The sequence below is a fragment of the Homo sapiens genome, chromosome 11, assembly GCF_000001405.40.
Source record: "Homo sapiens chromosome 11, GRCh38.p14 Primary Assembly".
NCBI classification, from domain to species: domain Eukaryota; kingdom Metazoa; phylum Chordata; class Mammalia; order Primates; family Hominidae; genus Homo; species Homo sapiens.
Genome location: NC_000011.10, coordinates 75,582,637 through 75,602,620, shown reverse-complemented (window position 1 = coordinate 75,602,620; position 19,984 = coordinate 75,582,637). Strand labels below are relative to the sequence as shown.

The following is a 19,984-nucleotide window of genomic DNA, read 5'->3' as shown; positions in this document are numbered from 1 at the left end:
TTGATCCAATGTTGCCGGGAAGAGCGACCGCCTGCACCGAGCACCACCTTGCCACACTGGGAGGCTGGGCTCTGACTCTCTGCCTCCTTCCTGTCGACTGGCAGGACTGTCATTTCTGGCTTTTTCTCCTCCCAAGGGATGGCAGAGATGCCTTCACTTGCTCAGTTAATCTATGGTCACTGTGGATGTTCCACCCATAGGGGGCTGGCTCACTGTGGGTTGTGGGGGTGACAGTCGTGTGTGTGCCTTATGTGGGGGTGCTGAAACAGCCACCAGACAGGCCACCAAGCAACAACAGATCAGGTAGTTGGGAACTCAGATGAAGGACAGGCTTCTTCCAACTAGGGCTGGGGAGTTGCGGAAGGCTCTGTGGCAGAGGGAGCCCTGGAAAGCAGCTGGGGTGTGGATATGTAAGGGCAAGGCCACTGCAGGGAGCAAGTCTAGAAATGGAAAACTGGGGGGCTGGGTGGGAACCTGAAAGCTAGGACCAAGTTTGCCCACTTTGTTATCCTTCTGGTAAAGTGGAAGACAAAAGATTTTATACTCTTCATTTTTCCAACATATGTTGATTGAATACCTATTATGTGCCAGGCACTGTGCTGGGCACTAGGGAAACCAGGATGACTGAGACCCCGCCTCTGATCACAGTGGGGCACGAAGGAGGAGGCCATTCTAGCTGGTTCCATGGATCAGGGAGGACTTCAGCAATGGGTAGGTGTTGACCAGGTGAACAGAGCCGGGGGTGGCCAAGGCATGCTAGATAGAGGGGTCTGCCCAAGCAAAGGTCGGAGGGGGGCCATCAAACACCAGGTGAACTTCAGTTCTGGGGGGGTAGCTCCCTTGGGAGGGTCATGGCACAGGCTGGAGAGTGACAGAGCTCGGTGGTGGAGAGGCCTGGTGCACGTGAGTGGGCGGTTGCTAACTGGGATCTCCATTTCCATATGCCCAAAGCGTACCTACACCCTGCATGCTCCCTTGTCATGCTTCTCTTGCTTGCTTATGCGTCAGGCAACACTACAGATCCTCTCTTGCTCTAAGCTAGGAGCCCTAGGGTGGACTTTTATTGCTGGACCTGATTGCTGAGTTTTGGGGGAGGCAGGGGTAGAAATCATTCAAGGGTGGTATAAATGAAAAGCCGTATGTATTTGTTTTCCAGATGAATAGAAAACATCCCACCCACCTGTCTACTTTTGTATGAGGCAGAAAACACAAAAGCTGCTCAAGAAATAAAACAAATACATAAAAGCATATTATTAAGCTCTCTTTTGATGAGTTAAGGGAGAGAGACAAAACGGGGATTGAGAGAGGTGGTAAGAAAGACAGGCGAGAAGTAGAGAGGTAGAAATAGCGGCACAGAGAGAAAAAGACACAGGAAAGCACACATATGAAGACACCTAGAGTAACCTAAGAGAGTGCGAGAAGGTGAGACACACTCAGAGTCAGAGAAAGGGCAAGCGTTGGGCAATGGAGAAGGCAGGAAGGCAGGGGCCTTGCCAGCTTTGTCAGTGCTGCCCACGTGCTCAGGGCTCCCCCAGGGGCTCTTCCGCCTGTGGTTCCCACCATGCTCCCCTCTGCTGCCCAGAGCCCCAGGAGGCAAATCTATAACCCATCACTCACATTACCTCCCTGAAACAGCAAACAAACAAAATTCAAACCAGCCCCCTATTTTCAAAATAGGTCATTGTTGCTAAGTTAGCTATAAATGTATTTCAATTCTTCCTTAGAGTTTTTGTGTTCTTCATGAAATTCTTCCCTCTTTTGTTTCACTAGGGTTTAAGAATTTACAACCTGCTTCTCACTTCTCATAGATTTGAGGAGCGTCAAGTCCCATTTCACAAAGGCTATGGACTCCTTTAGTGTGTCACTGTGGTTTAAGGCTCCTTTTACTGCTAAAATGTCTCAAAGCAGTTCACATTTTCAGGACCATAGGTACAGAAGTTTCTTTCAGGATATAACCTGTGAACCATCTGCGTTAAAGCAAGGCTTCACCCCTAGCACCACCTGAGACCAGCAGGGTTAGGAAAGCGGCTAGGGCAGCCAAGGCCACTGGAACAGGAAAGACAGCTGTTTCAAACAAAGGGAGCCCAAACTCCACTCTCACAGAACCGGGCATGTGTTTCAACCCCTACTTCCACCCCACTGCCATTTGATGCATATATCCTCATAACACCTAGACCATCCTAGAATTCCTACAACAGGGAGAACTAGAATTAACACCATTATGTATTTTGTTATTTACCCTATGAATACTGGTTAACATGGACAGTGCACTTAGGCATTTACAAAGTTCGTGAGTGGAAACCAGTGCTGCCGTGCAACGCTGTGTCTCTCACTAACCTCCTGGAGCATTAGTGTCCTCCTCTGAAAATGGGGACACTAATACCCCCCCTCAGAGGAGCAGAATGAGGATGAAATGACATGAGGGCTGTAGGGAACCCCTGGAGGACACTAAACATGTCACTTCACGCCCTTCCCCTCCCTTTAGAGTACTTGAAAGTACTTGTCCACTTTCTGACAGATATATACTTAGCTGTTAGTAATACACGAAGTTGATTGAGGCAAACATTCTTAAGAAGATTGCTTTTAAAGAATTACAGCTATTGAATTACCTTGAGTCCACAGACCTAAATGGTAATATTCTAACAATTTATATGTATGCGTTGCTTATGAAGCGTTTCTTTCTGTGCCATTCCACTGAACCCTCCCAATGTTATGGGGCAGGTGTTGGCCCCATGTAACAGAGGAGAAAGGGAAGCTCAAAGAGGAGGGGACACCTGCCAGCTTGGTCAGGCTTAGAAGATGGAGAAAGCACTGGAATCCAGGCTTCCAGCTCCATAGCCTGCTGTCTATCCCTCTCACCTGAAGGAGGCTCAGCTGGCCTGAAAAGAATCAGGTTTCAGACAAGTGGGACCCCCCAATAAAAACTAAGCCCATACCCCACAGTGCCACACTCTGGCTGGGCCATTCCAGGTCCTCCAGCAAGCTTGCCTAGTACCCTCTTTAAATCTTGGGACCCGGATACAAACTGAGGGAAAATAAGAATGGGGTCAGATCTATATACATCTGGCTCAGACGTCCTGGCTATACTGACCAATTATCACAGCCAATACACAGTTTTTCTCCTTCTGGTACTAGCTTGCCTGGGTGACTGCAATGTAGGTTACTAAATGCAGAATTGTCCAGCAGATTCTTCATTCACAAAAAATATACTCAGTCCTGGAGGTACCAAGATAAAACTGGTATCCATTATTATCTGCAGTATATAAGTATTGGATCTGAGACTGCCATTTTGAGCATTTTATTTCAGCCAGTGGAATTGAGCTTAAATTTCTGTCCCTTGTCCTCATGTAATGGGCCTCAATTACTTGTTAACCTGGCATTGTATATAGTGATCTCGACAGATGGCCCCAGAACTCTTATCTGGGGCCAAGAGAGCTTCAGATGCTGAGCTTTAAAAGTTACTGCCACTGCTTGCTACTGGTTTAAGCTGCTAGAGGGATCTTTATGCAAATCTGACCACGTCACCCCGTGCTTTAAACCATCCGTGGGCTCCTCGTGGTGCAGAAGCTTCTTGTTCCCTCGGTGCACCATGCTGCTTCTCACCTCCATGCCTTTACCCTTGCTGTCCACCTGCCTGGAATGCCCTTCTCCTGCTTCTCCACCTGGCTAACTCATCCTTCAAGACTCTGCTCAGGGGACAGCTCCAGGAAGCCTTTCCCGCACCTCCCAAGCTGGGTAAGCTGCTCCCTGTGTGTCTTCATGATGGAACTTGCCACATGTACTGTGTCATCCGCTCATGTGTGTATCCCCCTTACCAGACCGTGCTCCCCCAGGGCAAGGGCCAGATCTCTGTTCACCTTTGTAGCCCTAGCTTCTGGCCCAAAGCCTACCATAGACAGTGTCTTCTAAAGTGCTCATTGAATGAAAAATGAGTGAGTGAATGAATGATGAGATTCACTGTCTGCCTCCACATTCACCATGGTGCTTCCACAAGGCTCTTCTCTGACTATTAACTGTCTCTGCTCCCATGAAAGGGGCAGTTTTGTGAGAGGTCACAGCAACTGCAGACCAGAGAGCAGTCAATGGCTGGTTTTATACTGGCTGGCCTCTGTTCAGGCCTGCATACCTCTGTACTTTAGATAGCCACTTTTTCTAAACAGTCTTGATTGCATAAAATCATGGGCCCTTGGTTACAGGGTAATCTAAGAGGTTGGCCAATCTCACTCCCTGCTCAGTTCAGGGCTCCTAACTCTAGGGTGACAGGACCCTCCCCACCACCACACATTTCACAGGCATGTCTAATTCCAAGCAAGGATTATAACCAACAGGCCTGGTTCTAAATCCAAGCTCTACTATTTACTAGCTGTGTGACCTTAACTGAGTCTCTTAATTTCTTTAAGCCTCCAATAGATAACAATAATACAAATATCGATCACTCTTCGAATATATTTGGTTCCCAATTCAGGAAGCAAGAATTTGGCCAGCAAGGGATAATTTTATTTATTTCGACCTGTTTGTTTTCAGAGTTCAGGATAGCAGGTGGCAAGAGCTCTGAAAGCAAGGGATACCTGATTCCCAGGCCTGCGGTGAGGGCCCCATGGGGAGGCATGCAAAAGTCCTCTGCAAACTGGAGTGTGCAATGCCCTCGCCAATAGCTCATGTTATGGGTAGTTTTGCTGACCACAGCTTCCCAGTTAATTACTGCCCCTGGTCCCTAACAGTATGGCAGCTGGAGCTACACAAGGTGAATCCACTCCTGCCACACAATGGCCTGAGATTAACGCCATCTAGTGTTGGCTCTTGCTGCCTCTTCCCGTCCCCCAGCCTTTCATCTGGCCCCTGCTCTCTAAGCACACCCTATAAATCAGCTGGTGCAGATCCATCTCTGCAATTCCACATTCATTTGGAGTGATCCCCTCTGGATGCAGGAAACCAATTTTGATTAATTGCTCAAGATCCGATCCTTTGCTTTAGATGGGGGTTGGGGGAAGACAATGATGATTTGCAAGTTCCCAGGAGCATAGTGTTAGACAAGAATTGAGCGCTGCCTTAGTCCAACACTTTACATTTTAAAAAGGGTCATTAGCAGAATTATTAGATTCCTGGCAGCCCACTGGGACAATCTGCTGTGCCTTTGACTTTGCCTTCTTGGTGCTAAAACAATCGAGAATGCCTTTAAAAATATTTCTCATACAATTGGAAATTTATTTAGTTCTCCCTAGCAGGCCAAATCTAGAAAAAGTATTTAACATTGGCAAAAATAAATAGGTAAATAACCACAAAGAAAACATAACCACCTAGCCACTTACCCACCTAAGTGCAACCATTTCCCTGTATTTCAGAAGAACATGTCTGCCTGGAGGGAACCCAGAGTGGCAGGGAAAGACCTGAACTAGGGGCTGGCCCCAGATCTTGATTCGACTTTTGTAAAATGCAGAGTTGCCACAGCCTAGGGGGAGGGAATGAACCTTTACTTGGCCTTTACACACTTCGTCTCATTTAATCCTCACAGTAAGGTTAGAGTCTGCAGGTGTCACTCCCATTTACAGATAAACAAATCAGAACTCGGTGATTAAGGAACAAAGTCACACAACTTGTAAGTGGTGAGCCAGGATGTGAACCCAGGTTTGGGTGACCCTAAAACCCATTCCTTGTCCAGCACTTGGGACTATCTGTAGGATTCCTGTTGCAGAGATGTGCATCGCCTGAAACAGCAGCCTCCTCCTCTGTCCCTCGCTTGCTCTGAAACGTTCAATGACTCTCCATACTCTCGTCTATGGAAAATGAGTCACAAGAAGGTCAGAGAAGCTGAGTTTGATCTACACAGTTCACTCCCTCCACCCCTGACCCAGAATTAAGTCTTGTGGAGGCAGCATTTCTCCTAACTGTGGTCCTAGCTGGTGTTTCTGTGTGATGAGCCACATCTGGCGGACTCAGTGTGGCCCTGGGCTGGTAGACTGATTGGCAGCTGCACAGGTAGGGCTTCCAGGTGTGAATGTGGATGGGCACTCTTAGGCAGGATGCCACTGCTTTCTGGGGCTAAGGTCTTCTTTTTCAGGGTCGGCTGAATGCTAGGAAGTAAACCTGGTGGGTAGGGGGAGCTGTGCAGTGGGAGTAGCCAGCCAGGTTGTTGGGGGCCTGGGCCCAGAGGGGCAACTCTCTAAGGAGATGCAGTTGGGAGCTCTGAGCTGGAACCTGCAGAAGTCATTGGCTCCAGCCAGAGCCAGTCAGAGTCATCTCAAGCCGAGCCCAGTCCAGGCATCTACAGACAAATTTGGAATCTCTATATCTGTATATTCCACAAGGAGGGATACTATAGAGAGGAAAGAGCTCCTCCATTAAGGTCCTGACTTTGCCCGAACTCACTGTGTGACTTTGGGCAACTTACTTCAGCTTTCTGCACCGCGTTTTCGCTTCTGGAAGGTGAGGAGAGGGCTTTCTGTCTGCCTGGCTGACACCATTGTTGTGAGAATCAAATGCCTTGTATGTAAAGTTATCTCAGAAACCTTAAAGAGATGTTATCATTTGGAGGGCCAAAAAAGGTGCTAAGTTAAAAATAGGAAAACATTTTCATGTCATGTAAATGCGGTTGTTAGAATTTGATCTTGTATGAGCTATTTTAAAACTCCTCATTGAGAAAGTAGGCCTCCTACCATGTGCCAGCCCTATGCTAGTGATCCCTATGGCCTGGCACATAGTAGGCATTTAGTAAATGTTTGTGGAAGTACGGAAGGAGGCAAGAGGCAGGGAAGAGAGAGAGGAGAGGAGGGGAGGGAGAGAGGGAAAGAGAGATGAAGCAGGCATGGTCCCTGGCCTGAAAGTGCCCAGTCTAGAGAGGCAGATACAAAACTATTGAAGCTGATCTGATAGGGCTGCTGCCAAGGTGGGGGTGGGGGTGGGGGCACTGTGGGAACACAGAAAAAGGAAGTAGAGGCTCAGAGGTTTTTTCACTGAGGAAGATTCTTCAGTTACGGAGTAGAGGTTGCTAAGTGGATGGCGAGGGGTGGTGTTTGGGCAGCCAGCACTGATAAAGCTAGAGCTGCTTGGGCTGATCATTGGAGGTATAGACTCCAGGGCAGAGGAGGTGTGTCCTGTGTGGAGACCAACCTACAATGTGGCCTTTAGTTCTGGAGTTACACTGTCCAAGGGACAGAGCCAACTGAGACACATTGTAAGGAGGGCAGTTGGAATGTGAGGGCTCTGGGAACCAAGTCTGAACTGTTGTGGGGCTTGTGTTACTTGGAGAAGCCAGGGATACAGACCCAGTTGCTGCCCCCTTCAAATACCTGAAAGACTGTCCTGGGGCAGCCAGCAGGGCATTCACTAAAAGGGTGGCCCTGGAGTGCAAAACAGGGATCAGTGCAGAGATAGGAAGGAGTGGAGCTGACTGCAATGCAAGCTTCTGCTCAGGTCTAACCAGTGGCCACTGAGGAGGAGGCTGCCTCACCGGGCATGTGCAGCCCACCCCAGGCAGTGCGAGCAGCGGCTGGGCAGCCACCTGCCAGGGAGATTGCAGCAGAGGCTCAGGAGACCCATGGCCCAGCAGTCTATCCTTCCAGCCCTGGGCACCTTTGATTTGGCTTCTGGAGTTTTGCTTTTATGGAATAGAGAGGGAAGACTTCTCCAACAAAGTGACAGCTTGGCCCCTAATAAGATCTTTGAGCCTCTCTGGTTTGAAGAGACACAGGCCGATAAGGCTTAGGGCCCAGCTTGGAGGTGGTGCCTGTACCCAGGTGGTGGCGTCATGTTTGTGGTGTGTGTTTACAGGTCTGTCTCCTGCCTCACTCTAGGAGCTCCTTCCCCCAAGTCAGGGCTTGGCTCTCATTCACTTCTGTGTCCCCAGTGAGGGCCTGACACAGAGCAGGGTCTCAGTAGATTTGTTCAGTGAATGGATAAAAGAGAAAAAAATTAAAAGTGAATAAAGAGAAGAAGCTACACCAGCCATGTGTTTTTCCCACCAATATCTGCCAGGTACTACAATGAGCCAGACCCTGTGCTAGATACTCATGATGCAAAGATGAAGAAAACACAGTCCCACAGGCTAGCAGGAGAGGCAGATAATTACCAAAGAACAGGATAATTACTAAAAGAGACACTCCCACAGAGTCCGGTTGAGGATAGAGGCGGAGCGAGAGTTGTTTTGAGAACTCCTGTCTCCTGCAGATTCTTCATAAGAATAATGAGCCTTTCAAAGATGGTTTCCTTGGCAATCCCCCTTGGCAGCTGCATTTCCATCACTGTGTTGGGAGCTTTGTTTGTGTCTAAGAATCATGAGCACATGTACGGGGCCCATGGAGGCAGCAGCAAGGGAACAGAGCCCTGGAATCACACTGTCTCTGTCCATGTTCTGCCAGGGGCCCTGTGGTGCCGTTGGCCTGGGCTTCGCTGTTCCCCTCCTGCCCATCTTTGCTCCAAGTGAGTTTGCTCCATCTCTTCCACCTGCCTGCTGAGATGTTGAGAGGCCCATGTTTTAGTCCTGGACCTGGAGAATCACTTGTCCATTCTGGGTCAAGTTTCCATCTGTGGAGCAAGACAAATGGACCAGATCAGCAAGCCCCGCTTTGGAATTAACATTTGCTAAACATCACTTGTATTCCAGGGGCCATGCCATGAGCATTCACATAAGCTAATCCTCCCTAGAAGGTGGACCTTCTAATCTTCCTTTTGTAGATAAGGAAACTGAGGCCTGGAGATGTGTGCCCCAGTGCCATCCTATGGCTAGGAGGGGGTTGAATTCACATTCAAACCCAGCTCTCTGGGCCTCAAGCCCAGTCAGTGCACTGTCTCTATAGCAGGTTGCTTTTTACATCATGAGAAATAATAGATCTTAAAACGTCTGGCACCAAGCCTGGCCCATAGTTATTGCTCAGTGTCTTTCTTCCTCAAGGCTTTTCCACACTGCCCCACACTCCCACACTTTCCCTGGAAGGCAGGAGATTCAAGGACAGGGTCCATAGGCTCCCCACTCTCTGAATTATGCCCTATGCCAGGAGCATTGCCACAGCTGTTGGCTGCTTTGATGGTGCAACAGGAGACAATCTGGGAAGAAAAAAACCACGTGGATGGACTATAGGACTGGAATTGTGTGCAAGGGCAGGAATCAGTGGGAGGGAGTGAAGTCCTTTCACCATCCAGTGGAGGACAGGGCTCAGTAATCCTGCTGCTAGACTCTGGAAAGTATGGATCCAATGTCAGTGTGTGTGCACTCAGGAGGCATTACCTTGTCTCCATGGAAACAGGAAGAAGGATAGAAAATGAAGTGTCTAAGACAAGATGTCTCATATAACCTTGGAACATTAAGTTTTGCAAATAGGACAGAGCCTGGCACAGAACAGTCTGTTGTTTATTCATTCACTCAAGTATTAAGTCAGAACCCACCTGGGCTCAGGTACTGTTCATTTAAGGTACAGAGGATACAATGATGTGCAAAACTGACATGGTCCCTGCCCTCTGGACACTTCAGTCTAGTGGGAGAAACATTAATCCAAAAGAATACAAGGAATTAGCTGAGATAAGAGAGGAAAGCAAGTGCCAGGGACTAGGAGAGCCTGTAGCAGGGGGCTGGCCATGACTGTGGGGTCAGGGAAGCCTTCCCAGGGCAGTGCTTCAGTGAGCTGAGAGATGACAGCTGAGTAAACACTAGCCAGGTGAAGAGGGAACAAGAGAATATTCCAGGAGCAGACAGCTGCATGTGCAAAAGCTGTAAAATGGGAAGGAGCAGGGCGTGCCGAAGGAACAGAATGCTGGGCACAGAAAGCCAGGAAAGGCAGGAAGGAGAGGGGTGAAGGGGTAAGGAAGTGGGTAGATTGGCCAGCTAGGTGGGGCTGTGTAACACATTTTCTTCTTTGTTCTTGGTACAAGGAGAAGGTATTGAAAGGTTGTGAGCAAAGAAGGGACAAGATAGGGTTTGCTCTCTTAAAAGATCATTCTGATTTCTGTATGAAGAATGGGTTGGAGGAGAGCAAGAATACATGGAACAGGGGACAGCAGTCAGGAGGCTGTGACAGTGGTCCAGGTAGATGATGGCATAGCAGGTGGTAGGGGAAGGGAGGGAGGGAAAGAAGTGGGAATATTCAAGAGATAAATGTTAGGAGCTGAAATCAATGGGACCTGATGGATGGGGTGAGGGTTTTGAGGGAGAGGGAGGTATCAAGGATGAATCTGAGTTTCTGGCAGGGGCTAAGGAATAGAGGATGAACCAGCTTTCAGCAACAATAACTTTTAAATCTTTCCATTTTGCCTTCTTTGTTTCAGATACTGTGCTGGGCATTGGGGCTGCAGGCAAGGAGGTTGGCCCCTGTCTTCAGGGAGCTCTCTGTCTAGCAGGGGGAGCCTGGCCTGCAGTGGGGATATGTGAGAAAGCGGAGAGAGAGACTGTGAGACGGTGCTGCAGCAGGGATGCAAACGAAACTAATCTGGAGAGACACAGGCAGGAAGACCAGGGAGGAGGTGGGAGCTGAGCGGAGCCTTCAAGGACAGGCAGGGCCTTGACAAAGAAAAGTGGGTGAAGCAGAAACAGACAGCCCGGGCTGGCAGTGTGCAAAACAGCATGAGAGGATGATGCAGGGAAAATGGGGTTCCCCCAGGACTGCTGTGAGGGTTGAATGACATAAGGCAACAGACGCATGAGCATTTTAGTAAACTGCTATCACAGTTATTACAGAAGTGGACTTATTTGTGCACTATCCAAGCACTCTGAAAATATCAAGAATTGTTATTCCAGACGCCCACCTAGCAAAATTTTCTGTTGTAATAATCCCTGACATTTATATCGTTATCCCCACTTGATAGGTGGGGAAACTGAGGTCTATGGTGGTTAAACAATTGCCCAAGACCTTTCAGGCAATAAGCAGCACAGAAACCAAGGTCAGCCCAGCAGGTCATTGTACTTTCTGAGAGGTTAGTGCTTTCGGGGTGCACAGGCTGGGAGAAGGCGCCCGTGGCATATGCTGTCTTGAGAACATATGCTGCTGACCCAGGGCACCAGATTTGGTTGTGCAGGTTGGGCCATGCCCAAGGACAGCTGGCCTGTGGCCTGAGTGGGCTGAATGCAGCCTGCTTCTGCTCCCCAAGCCACGAACCAGCTTCCACCCTGAGGGGGTGGCTTTGCCTCATTCATACCAGCCTCACGGAGGAGGTGGGGCACTTTACAGATGGGAGACTGGCAGGCAACTGGAACCATGTGAGGACCAGTCAGTGTCAGTGAGGATTTCACGGTGCCCTTGCGTGCAGTTTCGTGCATAGAAAAACTGTCCAGGCTGCTTGGATTTTAAAGATGAATGCTTAATAAAAAGTAACAAAAATAAAATTAGTAAAATGTAACAATCTCTTTTAAGGAGGATGTTATAGCTTAATTCAATTACCCTAAATATAAATTAAATTATGAATAATTTTAAATAAATTAAGATTAAAAATATGGTGACCATTGGCTTGTCATAAAAGTTCCATCGTTGTTTAAAAATGTGTAAAACTGTCATATCTTTCAGCTTTAGGTTATACATCTAATTTAATTATTCCGTTACACATTTTATATTGGGATTACAAAGCTAATCTGTTAGACATTCTAATACGCTAAATTATCTTAAACATTACAAATACCTTTGAACTAAATCTATGCACATTTTTCCTAAACTTTTTTCTTTTTTTTTTTCCTGGAGCCAGTGTCTCACTGTGTCACCCAGGTTAGAGTGCAGTGGTGTGATCTCAGCTCACTGCCACCTCCACCTCCTGGGCTAAAACGATTCTCCCACCTCAACCTCCTGAGTAGCTGGGACTACAGGCACCTGCCACCACACCCAGCTAATTTTTGTATTTTTAGTAGAGATGGGGTTTCACCATGTTAGCCAGGCTGATCTCGAACTCCTGACCACAAGTGATCTGCCCGCCTCGGCCTCCCAAAGTGCTGGGATTACAGGGTTTTTCTTAAACTTAATATTAAAAAAGTAATATTGGGGACTTGATTTAATTCATCATTTTAATCTTAATTATAACCTTCCCATGATTAAAGATACCCACTAAAGAAAAAAGTTTTCTAACCTAAGCAATATGGGGTTATGTATCCATGCAAAGTTGAGGCTAGCTCACAACTGGCTCATTAAACAGAAGAGCCCATTAAACAGAAATTTGGTAGGTGGCACAGGAGCCAATGCTGTAGATATCCAAGGAAATGTACTTCCTGGCCCAGGCTGCAGGGCTGGCCTTCTTTGTGACCTCCAGGCCAGCAGGAGACTCCAGGCCCATGTCCTACCCTTGGGATAGGTTCTGCAGCCCAAGCCCCTGAGATGGAGTTAAGCTCCCTTTTTTTTCTTTTGTCCCTTCTCAGCTTCCTCACCCTGTTGGGAGGACACCACCCAGGTCGCTTCACAATCTAAGAGAATACACCTAATCAATTTCCTGCTTGGCTCTGTTCTGAATTCGGTTTTTCTTTTTTCCTCTCTGACCAGCCACCAGTGACTGGAGGTATTTTAATGCCATTTTTGGATTCCACATGCTTCTCACAGCCTTGCCTGGCTCTCTTCTCAAACACTAAGGTCCTACTGATAGCAGCCAACTGTGTCTATCTGGCCAGAGCAGCTGTGTTCCATATCATGCTGAGCCAGAGAGCTGCCCTGGCCCCTTCCACTGTGATGCTCAGGGACAGCCAGGGGAACTAGATGGAGAGGTTGCCTGTGCTGTGTGGACTCTGCTGAGAAATACCAGTCCCTGGGTGGCTCAGGATGCTAAATACAGTAAAAAGCTTCTGCATCAGGACAACACAGAAGAATAAAAGCAGTCCAAATACACATAATTTTACTTCTAAGTAAACAGAAAAACAACCATAATACTACCCAATAATACCATAGTACAAGGTGCTCTAGGTGCTGACCTCTAATCATTATAGATTTCTGAGTAAATATCATTATACCCAATAAATAGAGTAATAGTAATAGTCACCTTGCATTGAGCACCTACTATGTGCCAGGCACACTAAGGGAAAGAGCACAGGATCCAGGAGCGGAAGGATCCAGATGCTAGTCCGTGGGGGTCCCCTCACTTTCCCCATCACTTGTCCTCTCATGACCTCATTTTCTTCATCAGACAAGTAAGGGTAAGAAAATCCTTCCTGTGTGCTTCACAGGGCTGCTCTGTTGCTGAAATGAGCTATAAAAGGGAGCCATTCGGAAAGCTGGATGTGTTGTAGGCGTGCAAGGGCCTGTGATGCTTGCTGAGCAATGCCACTCTCTCGACTTCCAACATGGCCTGCAAGGAAGGAGTGTGCACTCTAAACCAGAGGGCTCCAGGCTGGCCGGGTCTAAGTGTGGCAATGCTTGCCTTTGAGTGTTAGTGTTGTCACACGCTCTCCACAGTGTGGGTGGGCCAGGGGATGAGGCAGACGGCCACAGTGAGGCGAGGGAACAGTGCCTGAGGATTCTGATGAAAGACTGGGACTCTTGGCTATAGGGAAATAAGCCCAAGAGCCTGGAAGTTGGTGAGGGCAAAGGTCTCAGGAGAGCAGAGAGAGCCAGAAGTGGGAATGGAGTTAGGGGATCAGGGCCTCATCCCTACCTGAAAGCGGAGTCCCATTGAGTCACCTAGCAAAGGTTGGGGGTAGTGGGAGTGGTGCATGCAATCACAGGGCGCACTGTCTATGGAGAATTTAAAGCAATAAAGCTAAAAGCTGCCTGTAGTCCAGCTATTCAGGAGGCTGAGGTGGGAGGATCACTTGAGGTCAGGAGCTGGAGAACAGCCTAGGTGACATAGTGAGGCCCCGTCTCTACAAAAACAAATAACAAAAAACTAATAGCTGGCCTGCTTTTTATTATCACTATATGCTGCTCATTCTATACAATGTCAGTGATAAAATACTTTTCCCCTTGCAGGAGAGGGAGAGAGGGGCATTCCCACTGCTTCCTTTCCTGGTATGCCATGGACCCCTTGCCCCTTCTTGCAGCCAGCACTTAACAAGGGGGTCAGGGAGTCAGGGAGGCAAAAGAACTTTGAAGGCCCTGAGAACAAGAAAAGAGCACCCTGGCCTGTGGGGGCATCTGGTGGGCAGCTGAGATGGGGCTCCCAGGATGGGCCCAACGATCCTAGAAGAAAAAGTAGGGACCTGGATGGAATGTGGGGTGGACGGGCTGCTGGGATGCCTACTGGATGACTCCGAGTCCAGCTACAGTACTGCCATTGTCACCAGCGTGCCACCCCCTGTGCCACGTGCAGGTTATAATCAATTGGCAAGCACATTGAATGACTGATTCCTGAGCCTTCACCTCACCCCCCTCCCTCACCCCCGCCCACATTCTGTACTAAGAACACAGAAATCATATTCTCCTGGCTCTCCAGCAAGAGCTGCCCGGCCCAGGCTCCACTAGGCCAAGACTTATTAGGCAATCTGTACTCTGCCCTGTCCCTGCCTGAGCTCTACTCTCACAGTGATCACCTCTCTCTCCTTTGCAGGAGCCTGGCTCAACCCGTCAGTGATTCAAGTAAGACTCAAGGTCCTGTAGCCACAGAGCCAGACAAGGATCAAGGTTCTGTGGTCCCAGGCCTTCTGAAAGGTCAAGGTCCTATGGTGCAAGAGCCTCTGAAGAAGCAAGGTTCTGTGGTCCCAGGGCCTCCAAAGGATCTAGGTCCCATGATCCCATTACCAGTCAAGGATCAAGATCACACGGTCCCTGAGCCTTTAAAGAATGAAAGCCCTGTTATCTCAGCACCAGTCAAGGACCAAGGTCCCTCGGTCCCAGTTCCTCCAAAGAATCAAAGTCCTATGGTTCCAGCAAAAGTTAAGGATCAAGGCTCTGTGGTACCAGAGTCTCTAAAGGATCAAGGTCCTAGGATTCCTGAGCCTGTGAAGAATCAAGCTCCTATGGTCCCAGCACCTGTCAAGGATGAAGGTCCCATGGTCTCAGCATCTGTCAAGGATCAAGGTCCCATGGTCTCAGCACCTGTCAAGGATCAAGGTCCCATAGTCCCAGCACCTGTCAAGGGTGAAGGTCCCATAGTCCCAGCACCTGTCAAGGATGAAGGTCCCATGGTCTCAGCACCTATCAAGGATCAAGATCCCATGGTCCCAGAGCATCCGAAGGATGAAAGTGCCATGGCCACAGCACCCATAAAGAATCAAGGTTCCATGGTCTCTGAGCCTGTAAAGAATCAAGGTTTAGTGGTCTCAGGGCCAGTCAAGGATCAAGATGTTGTAGTCCCAGAGCATGCAAAGGTTCACGATTCTGCAGTTGTGGCACCTGTAAAGAATCAAGGTCCTGTGGTCCCCGAGTCCGTGAAGAATCAAGACCCCATTCTCCCAGTACTAGTTAAGGATCAAGGCCCCACAGTCCTACAGCCTCCAAAGAATCAAGGTCGTATAGTCCCTGAACCTCTGAAGAATCAAGTTCCTATAGTCCCAGTGCCTCTGAAGGATCAAGATCCTCTGGTGCCAGTACCAGCAAAGGACCAAGGTCCTGCAGTCCCTGAACCTCTGAAGACTCAAGGTCCCAGGGACCCTCAGCTACCTACTGTCTCACCTCTACCCCGAGTCATGATCCCAACTGCCCCCCATACGGAATACATTGAGAGCTCCCCTTGACACTCACCCCTTGACACACCAATGAAGGAGCTGACAGTGAGAGTGCTCCCCTCCCAGGGGCAGTGAAGACACATATTTAATCTGCATGAAACATGTACAGTAGTCTTGCTGGAATCTAATAAAAATGGTCCCTCTGGCTCAGCAATGTTTCTCTCTGTCTCTGTTGGGCAGGGGTGCATACATGTGTATAGGTGGGCCTGTCAGGCTCTGCATTCACCCGTCTGGACCAGAGGGGTCTGAGAAGCACCAGTTCCTGTGAGTTGTCAGCATGAGATGGGAGTGGGTAGGCGATGCTAGATGGAAACAGGACCCCATCACGGAGGTGGGCAGGATAAGGCAAGGGTCAGATACCATGACAGCCTCACAAGAGGTGCCAAATCCCAGCAGGCTGAGCCCTGGGTAGCTGAGTTGAAGCCTGCAGATGAAACAGGAGCAGGGACCCACCTGGCACAGGGGAATTCTGGATGACAGTTGTTTGCCAAGAGCTCAGCCTTAAAGCTCATCCAGGGGTCAAACTTCTTGAGGAAACCAGGCTCTGATCATAAGTCTCAGGACACTGTATAACCTAACACCTGCTAATCCTCATTCAATATCCATGACAGCTCAACTGAGAGCTTCTAAAGAATATACCTAGAGCCAGGCACAGTGGCTCACGCCTGTAATCCCAGCACTTCGGGAGGCTTAGGTGGGTGGATCACCTGAGGTCAGGAGTTCGAGACCAGCCTGGCCAACATGGTAAAAACCCTGTCTCTACTAAAAATAAAAAAATTAGCTGGGTGCGGTGGCAGGCACCTGTAAACCCAGCTACTCAGGAGGCTGAGGCAGGAGAATCACTTGAACCTGGGAGGCAGAGGTTGCAATGAGCCGAGATTGTGCCACTGCACTCTAGCCTGGCTCCAGCCTGGGCGACAGAGCGAGACTCGGTCTCAAAAAAAAAAAGCGTGTGTATGTGTATGTATGTATGTGTGTGTGTATATATATATATACACGTATATATATATATACACGTATATATATATATATATATATATATACGTGTATATATATATGTGTGTGTGTGTGTATGTATATCTGAAGTCCCCATTCATTTCTCCGTGCAGCAAGCTTGTCCTTAGCATGCACTTTGTGCCAGGCTCAGTGCTGAGCACTGGGGTCACTATGGGAAAGAATATTATGACAATAAAACATGGTATGGGATGAGGCCCTAGGACAAGTCAAGACCTGGCTTTGAGAGGCCAGTGAAGAGAGAACACCTGGCAAGAGCAGCCAGGAAGGCTTTCCAGAGAAAGTGGCTGTGGAGTTCTGATGGAGTCTAGGCAGTCCAGACAGGGCAGACAGGGCGGCATGGGTGTGGCTGAGGACCGGGTAACGCTCCCTCTGAAAGTCCTTGAATGAAAGGAATCTGGTTTGCATGAGGACTTGACCAAGGGTATGGCAGGTCTCTGGGGTGGAAAACTAGGACGAGGCAGGGGTGATCCATTTTCTGAATTCCAGGAAATCAGGGAGGGAGTGGGGGTGCGTCCTGTGGGCTGTGATTGTGGGGCTGGCAGGCCGAGGAACAGCCACAGCCAGGCTGTGGGGAGGACGGCTGGGAGCTGCCAGCGGGCCTGGGGCTCAGCCTCAGTCAAAGATGGGTCCGGCCGGGATGCCACTGGCAGGGGCCGCAAGGCCATATTACAGCCTCCCTTTCAAAGCCCAGAGCCCCCAAGAAGCTAGGGTGGAGGCTCCACCAGTTGCCCCCACCAAAGCTGGCTCCCAAGGAATACTGCTATCCCTTTCAAAGGAGCTCAGCTCAGTTCTTACAGGAAAATCATCAGAGGAAATACAGTATGGAGGACACCCAAATAGTCTAGTTTTCTAAGCAAGCCTTCCCCATCCAACTGGCCCCAAGCCTGCCTCCTCACCCCGTTCCCAACAGCACTAGGGTTTTGTCTATACACACACAAACACACACACACACACACACAGAGAAAGAGAGAGAGAGACGTTTCTTCACAGTGAGGTTGGCTTTTTTTGGCCCAACACAAAAGTAGCCCTCAGAGCTTGCTGCCATATGAGCTCCAATAGTCAGAAACCTGAAGATAAGACAAGGCCACATTGAGGCTAAAGAATTGCGTGTGAAGGTCGGGCTCGATGGCTCACGGCTGTAATCCCAGGACTTTGGGAGGCCGAGGTGGGTGGATTATTTGAGGTCAGGAGTTCAAGAGCAGCCTGACCAACATGGTGAAACCCTGTCTCTACTAAATATACCAAAATTAGCTGGGTGTAGTGGCAGGCACCTGTAATCCCAGCTACTTGGGAGGCTAAGGCACGAGAATCGCTTGAACCTGGGAGGCAGAGATTGCAGTGAGCTGAGATCTAGCCACTGCACTCCAGCCCGGGCGATAGAGCGAGACTCTGTCTCAAAAAAAAAAATCGCATGTGGACACCTTCCTCCTCCTCCCAGTCCTTCCTCTGACCCACACACCAGGTCCCATGACACACACGTTTCCACAGGCCAAGCGAACCGTGGCGCCATCTCTGAGAAGCAGAACAAGGTTTCCCTGAGGGCCTCCGAGACACCCGGGGGCAGATGTCCAGGCCACTGGCTACCAAGGCTTGACCTCTGAAGAGACGTCTGGAAACAGGGCCTGGTAGTCAGCTGCCCTGGGGCTGGGGGGAGGATGGTCACAAGCCCCACATGAAGGACGCTGCGCTCCCTCAGAGAGTGTCAGAATGGAAAGAGATGTGGGTCCTGTTCCAAGCGTTGCGGACTTAAGAGGTCAGAGAGAATCGCCCAGAAAAAGTTCAGAGGGGCTGGCCCGGAGCTGTAAGGAGGAACCAGGGAACTGTGGTGCCCGGAGTGATTCAATCAGGAGACAGTGAGGCCGGGTCGAAAGCTGGGAGGGCCGGCGCAGATGAGGACTGAGGGGTGGCCGCTAGATCTGGCAGTTTCTGCTATGAGCCCAGAGCCAGCCCCTCAACATCTTCATTTGCAAGCCGGTCCTGACGCACAGAGCAGCGCCTCTGAGCTGCAGGCCTTCCCAGCTCAGTCCAGTCCAGCCCTCCACTACCCAGAAAGAAGGCCCAGTGCGGGAGGAGGGGCTCTGGGTCCCCATCTTGGGGTGGGGCAGGGAGGGCGGGGGCGCACCCGACTCTCCTGGCCCTTCTTACAAGCAGGCTTCACTCGAGGCCTAGCTCCTCCCTGCGGCAGCCACTTCCCAGTCTCCCGCGGCGTCCCCTTCCCCACCTCTCCCTCCTCCCTCCTCTCCTTCTTCCTCCCAGCTGCGGGAACTCACAAAGCAGGGGCGACCGCAACCCCGCAGTCCGCGGGCTCCCGCGCCCCTGCTGCAGCCGCCCGGGGAGGGGAGAGGACGGCCCCGCGGCGCCGCAGAAAGGGCGCCCCTACGCCGCGAGGGGCAGGGAGTCGGGGGGTCTCTGGAATGGGAGGCTCCCCACCCGGCCCAGAGGCAAAGGCGACCCGCTGAAACTGGATGGGCCGGCGGCGGAACTCCGACCCGAGAGTCCCACTCCGAAGATGCCCAGGCTCGGGAGGGCGTCTCCGCCCACAGAGCCCCGCTACCAGGGCTCTCGGCTCGGAAACAGCAGCCCCCGTCCCCGCGCACTCGCACAGCCCCCCGCCTGCAGGCTCATCTCCGGCCCCGCCCCGGGCTCCGGGCTCCGCCGCCCGTGCAGCCTGGCCCCGCGAGACCTCGGGACGCGGGATCGGGCCGGTGGGAAGGATAGTGCCCTGGCGAGGGTGGGCGAAAGAGGCCCCGGTATCTGCGCTCTGCCTACCCGCTTTGGGCCGCTAGAAGGCCTGGCTGGGAGACCCTTTCCGGGAGCTGGGCCGAGGCCTCTCTGGAGTCCCCGGTGGCTGGTCTGGGGAAAGGCCGCGATGTTAGTCCTCACACAATGGACCCCACCCGTGATACCTGCCGACGCCCCACACGGCCTAGGCACCTTGTGCCATATTGGGGGAGCGGGGAGACGGTCTATGTGGACAAGGGACAGGAGCCAACTCGGACTGGAGCGACACTTTCGGGAGTCTGTGCCGCTGAGTGGATGGATGGTCTAGAGGAAGTGGGTGGGAATGCACTCGGGTTGACCCAGTTCTCAGCCAGAAACCGGGAAATCCTTTTCAGTACCAGTCTCCGACCCTCAGCTTCCAAACTATCAGTAAGACCTGCCTGGCCTTCCTGCTAAATAGCAAATTTGCCCACTTTTCACTATCTCTATGGCCACCCCCTCTTACCTCACCCATCTCACAATTTGTAATTCAGTCTATGCATCACAGCATGGCACTCAGGTGTAAGAAATGCCACGTCTTTATTTTGGTAAATCTAATTAAATAGACTGGGAGCCCCCTTCTCTCGTTGCCACGGTTGACAGGAAATCTGATATTAGTCATTTTCCTGGAGCCTCATCCTGTCTTTGGGGCTT

General features: G+C 50.4%; 1 protein-coding gene and 1 long non-coding RNA gene across 5 annotated transcripts in view, besides 3 other annotated features; one reads left to right on the top strand and one right to left on the bottom strand.

Annotated features, from left to right (window-relative positions):
* The window catches only part of MAP6 (microtubule associated protein 6), an 82,121-nt gene extending 66,418 nt beyond the window's left edge, over positions 1–15,703 (top strand). For all 4 annotated transcript variants that reach the window (NM_033063.2, XM_017017755.3, XM_017017756.2 and 1 more), the window contains one exon: positions 14,437–15,703. In NM_033063.2, coding sequence (NP_149052.1) covers positions 14,437–15,562 — 1,126 coding nt within the window. In that variant the 3' untranslated portion in view covers positions 15,563–15,703. The remainder of the gene's footprint in view (positions 1–14,436) is intronic.
* Positions 7,956–19,425, bottom strand: MAP6-AS1 (MAP6 antisense RNA 1). Its single transcript, NR_145823.1, has 2 exons — positions 19,340–19,425; positions 7,956–8,520 (listed from the first exon to the last, which is right to left on the bottom strand). It is a non-coding gene; the product is annotated as an MAP6 antisense RNA 1 (long non-coding RNA).
* Positions 17,812–18,391: an enhancer, noted in NCBI's record as "H3K27ac-H3K4me1 hESC enhancer chr11:75295275-75295854 (GRCh37/hg19 assembly coordinates)". NCBI's record gives its function as "activates a minimal SCP1, AML or CMV promoter by ChIP-STARR-seq in naive H9 embryonic stem cells {active_cell/tissue: H9 hESC(naive)}" and the evidence as "EXISTENCE:reporter gene assay evidence [ECO:0000049][PMID:30033119]".
* Positions 19,138–19,287: a silencer, noted in NCBI's record as "silent region_3772". NCBI's record gives its function as "represses an Ori minimal core promoter by ATAC-STARR-seq in GM12878 lymphoblastoid cells {active_cell/tissue: GM12878}" and the evidence as "EXISTENCE:reporter gene assay evidence [ECO:0000049][PMID:35858748]".
* Positions 19,298–19,407: a silencer, noted in NCBI's record as "silent region_3771". NCBI's record gives its function as "represses an Ori minimal core promoter by ATAC-STARR-seq in GM12878 lymphoblastoid cells {active_cell/tissue: GM12878}" and the evidence as "EXISTENCE:reporter gene assay evidence [ECO:0000049][PMID:35858748]".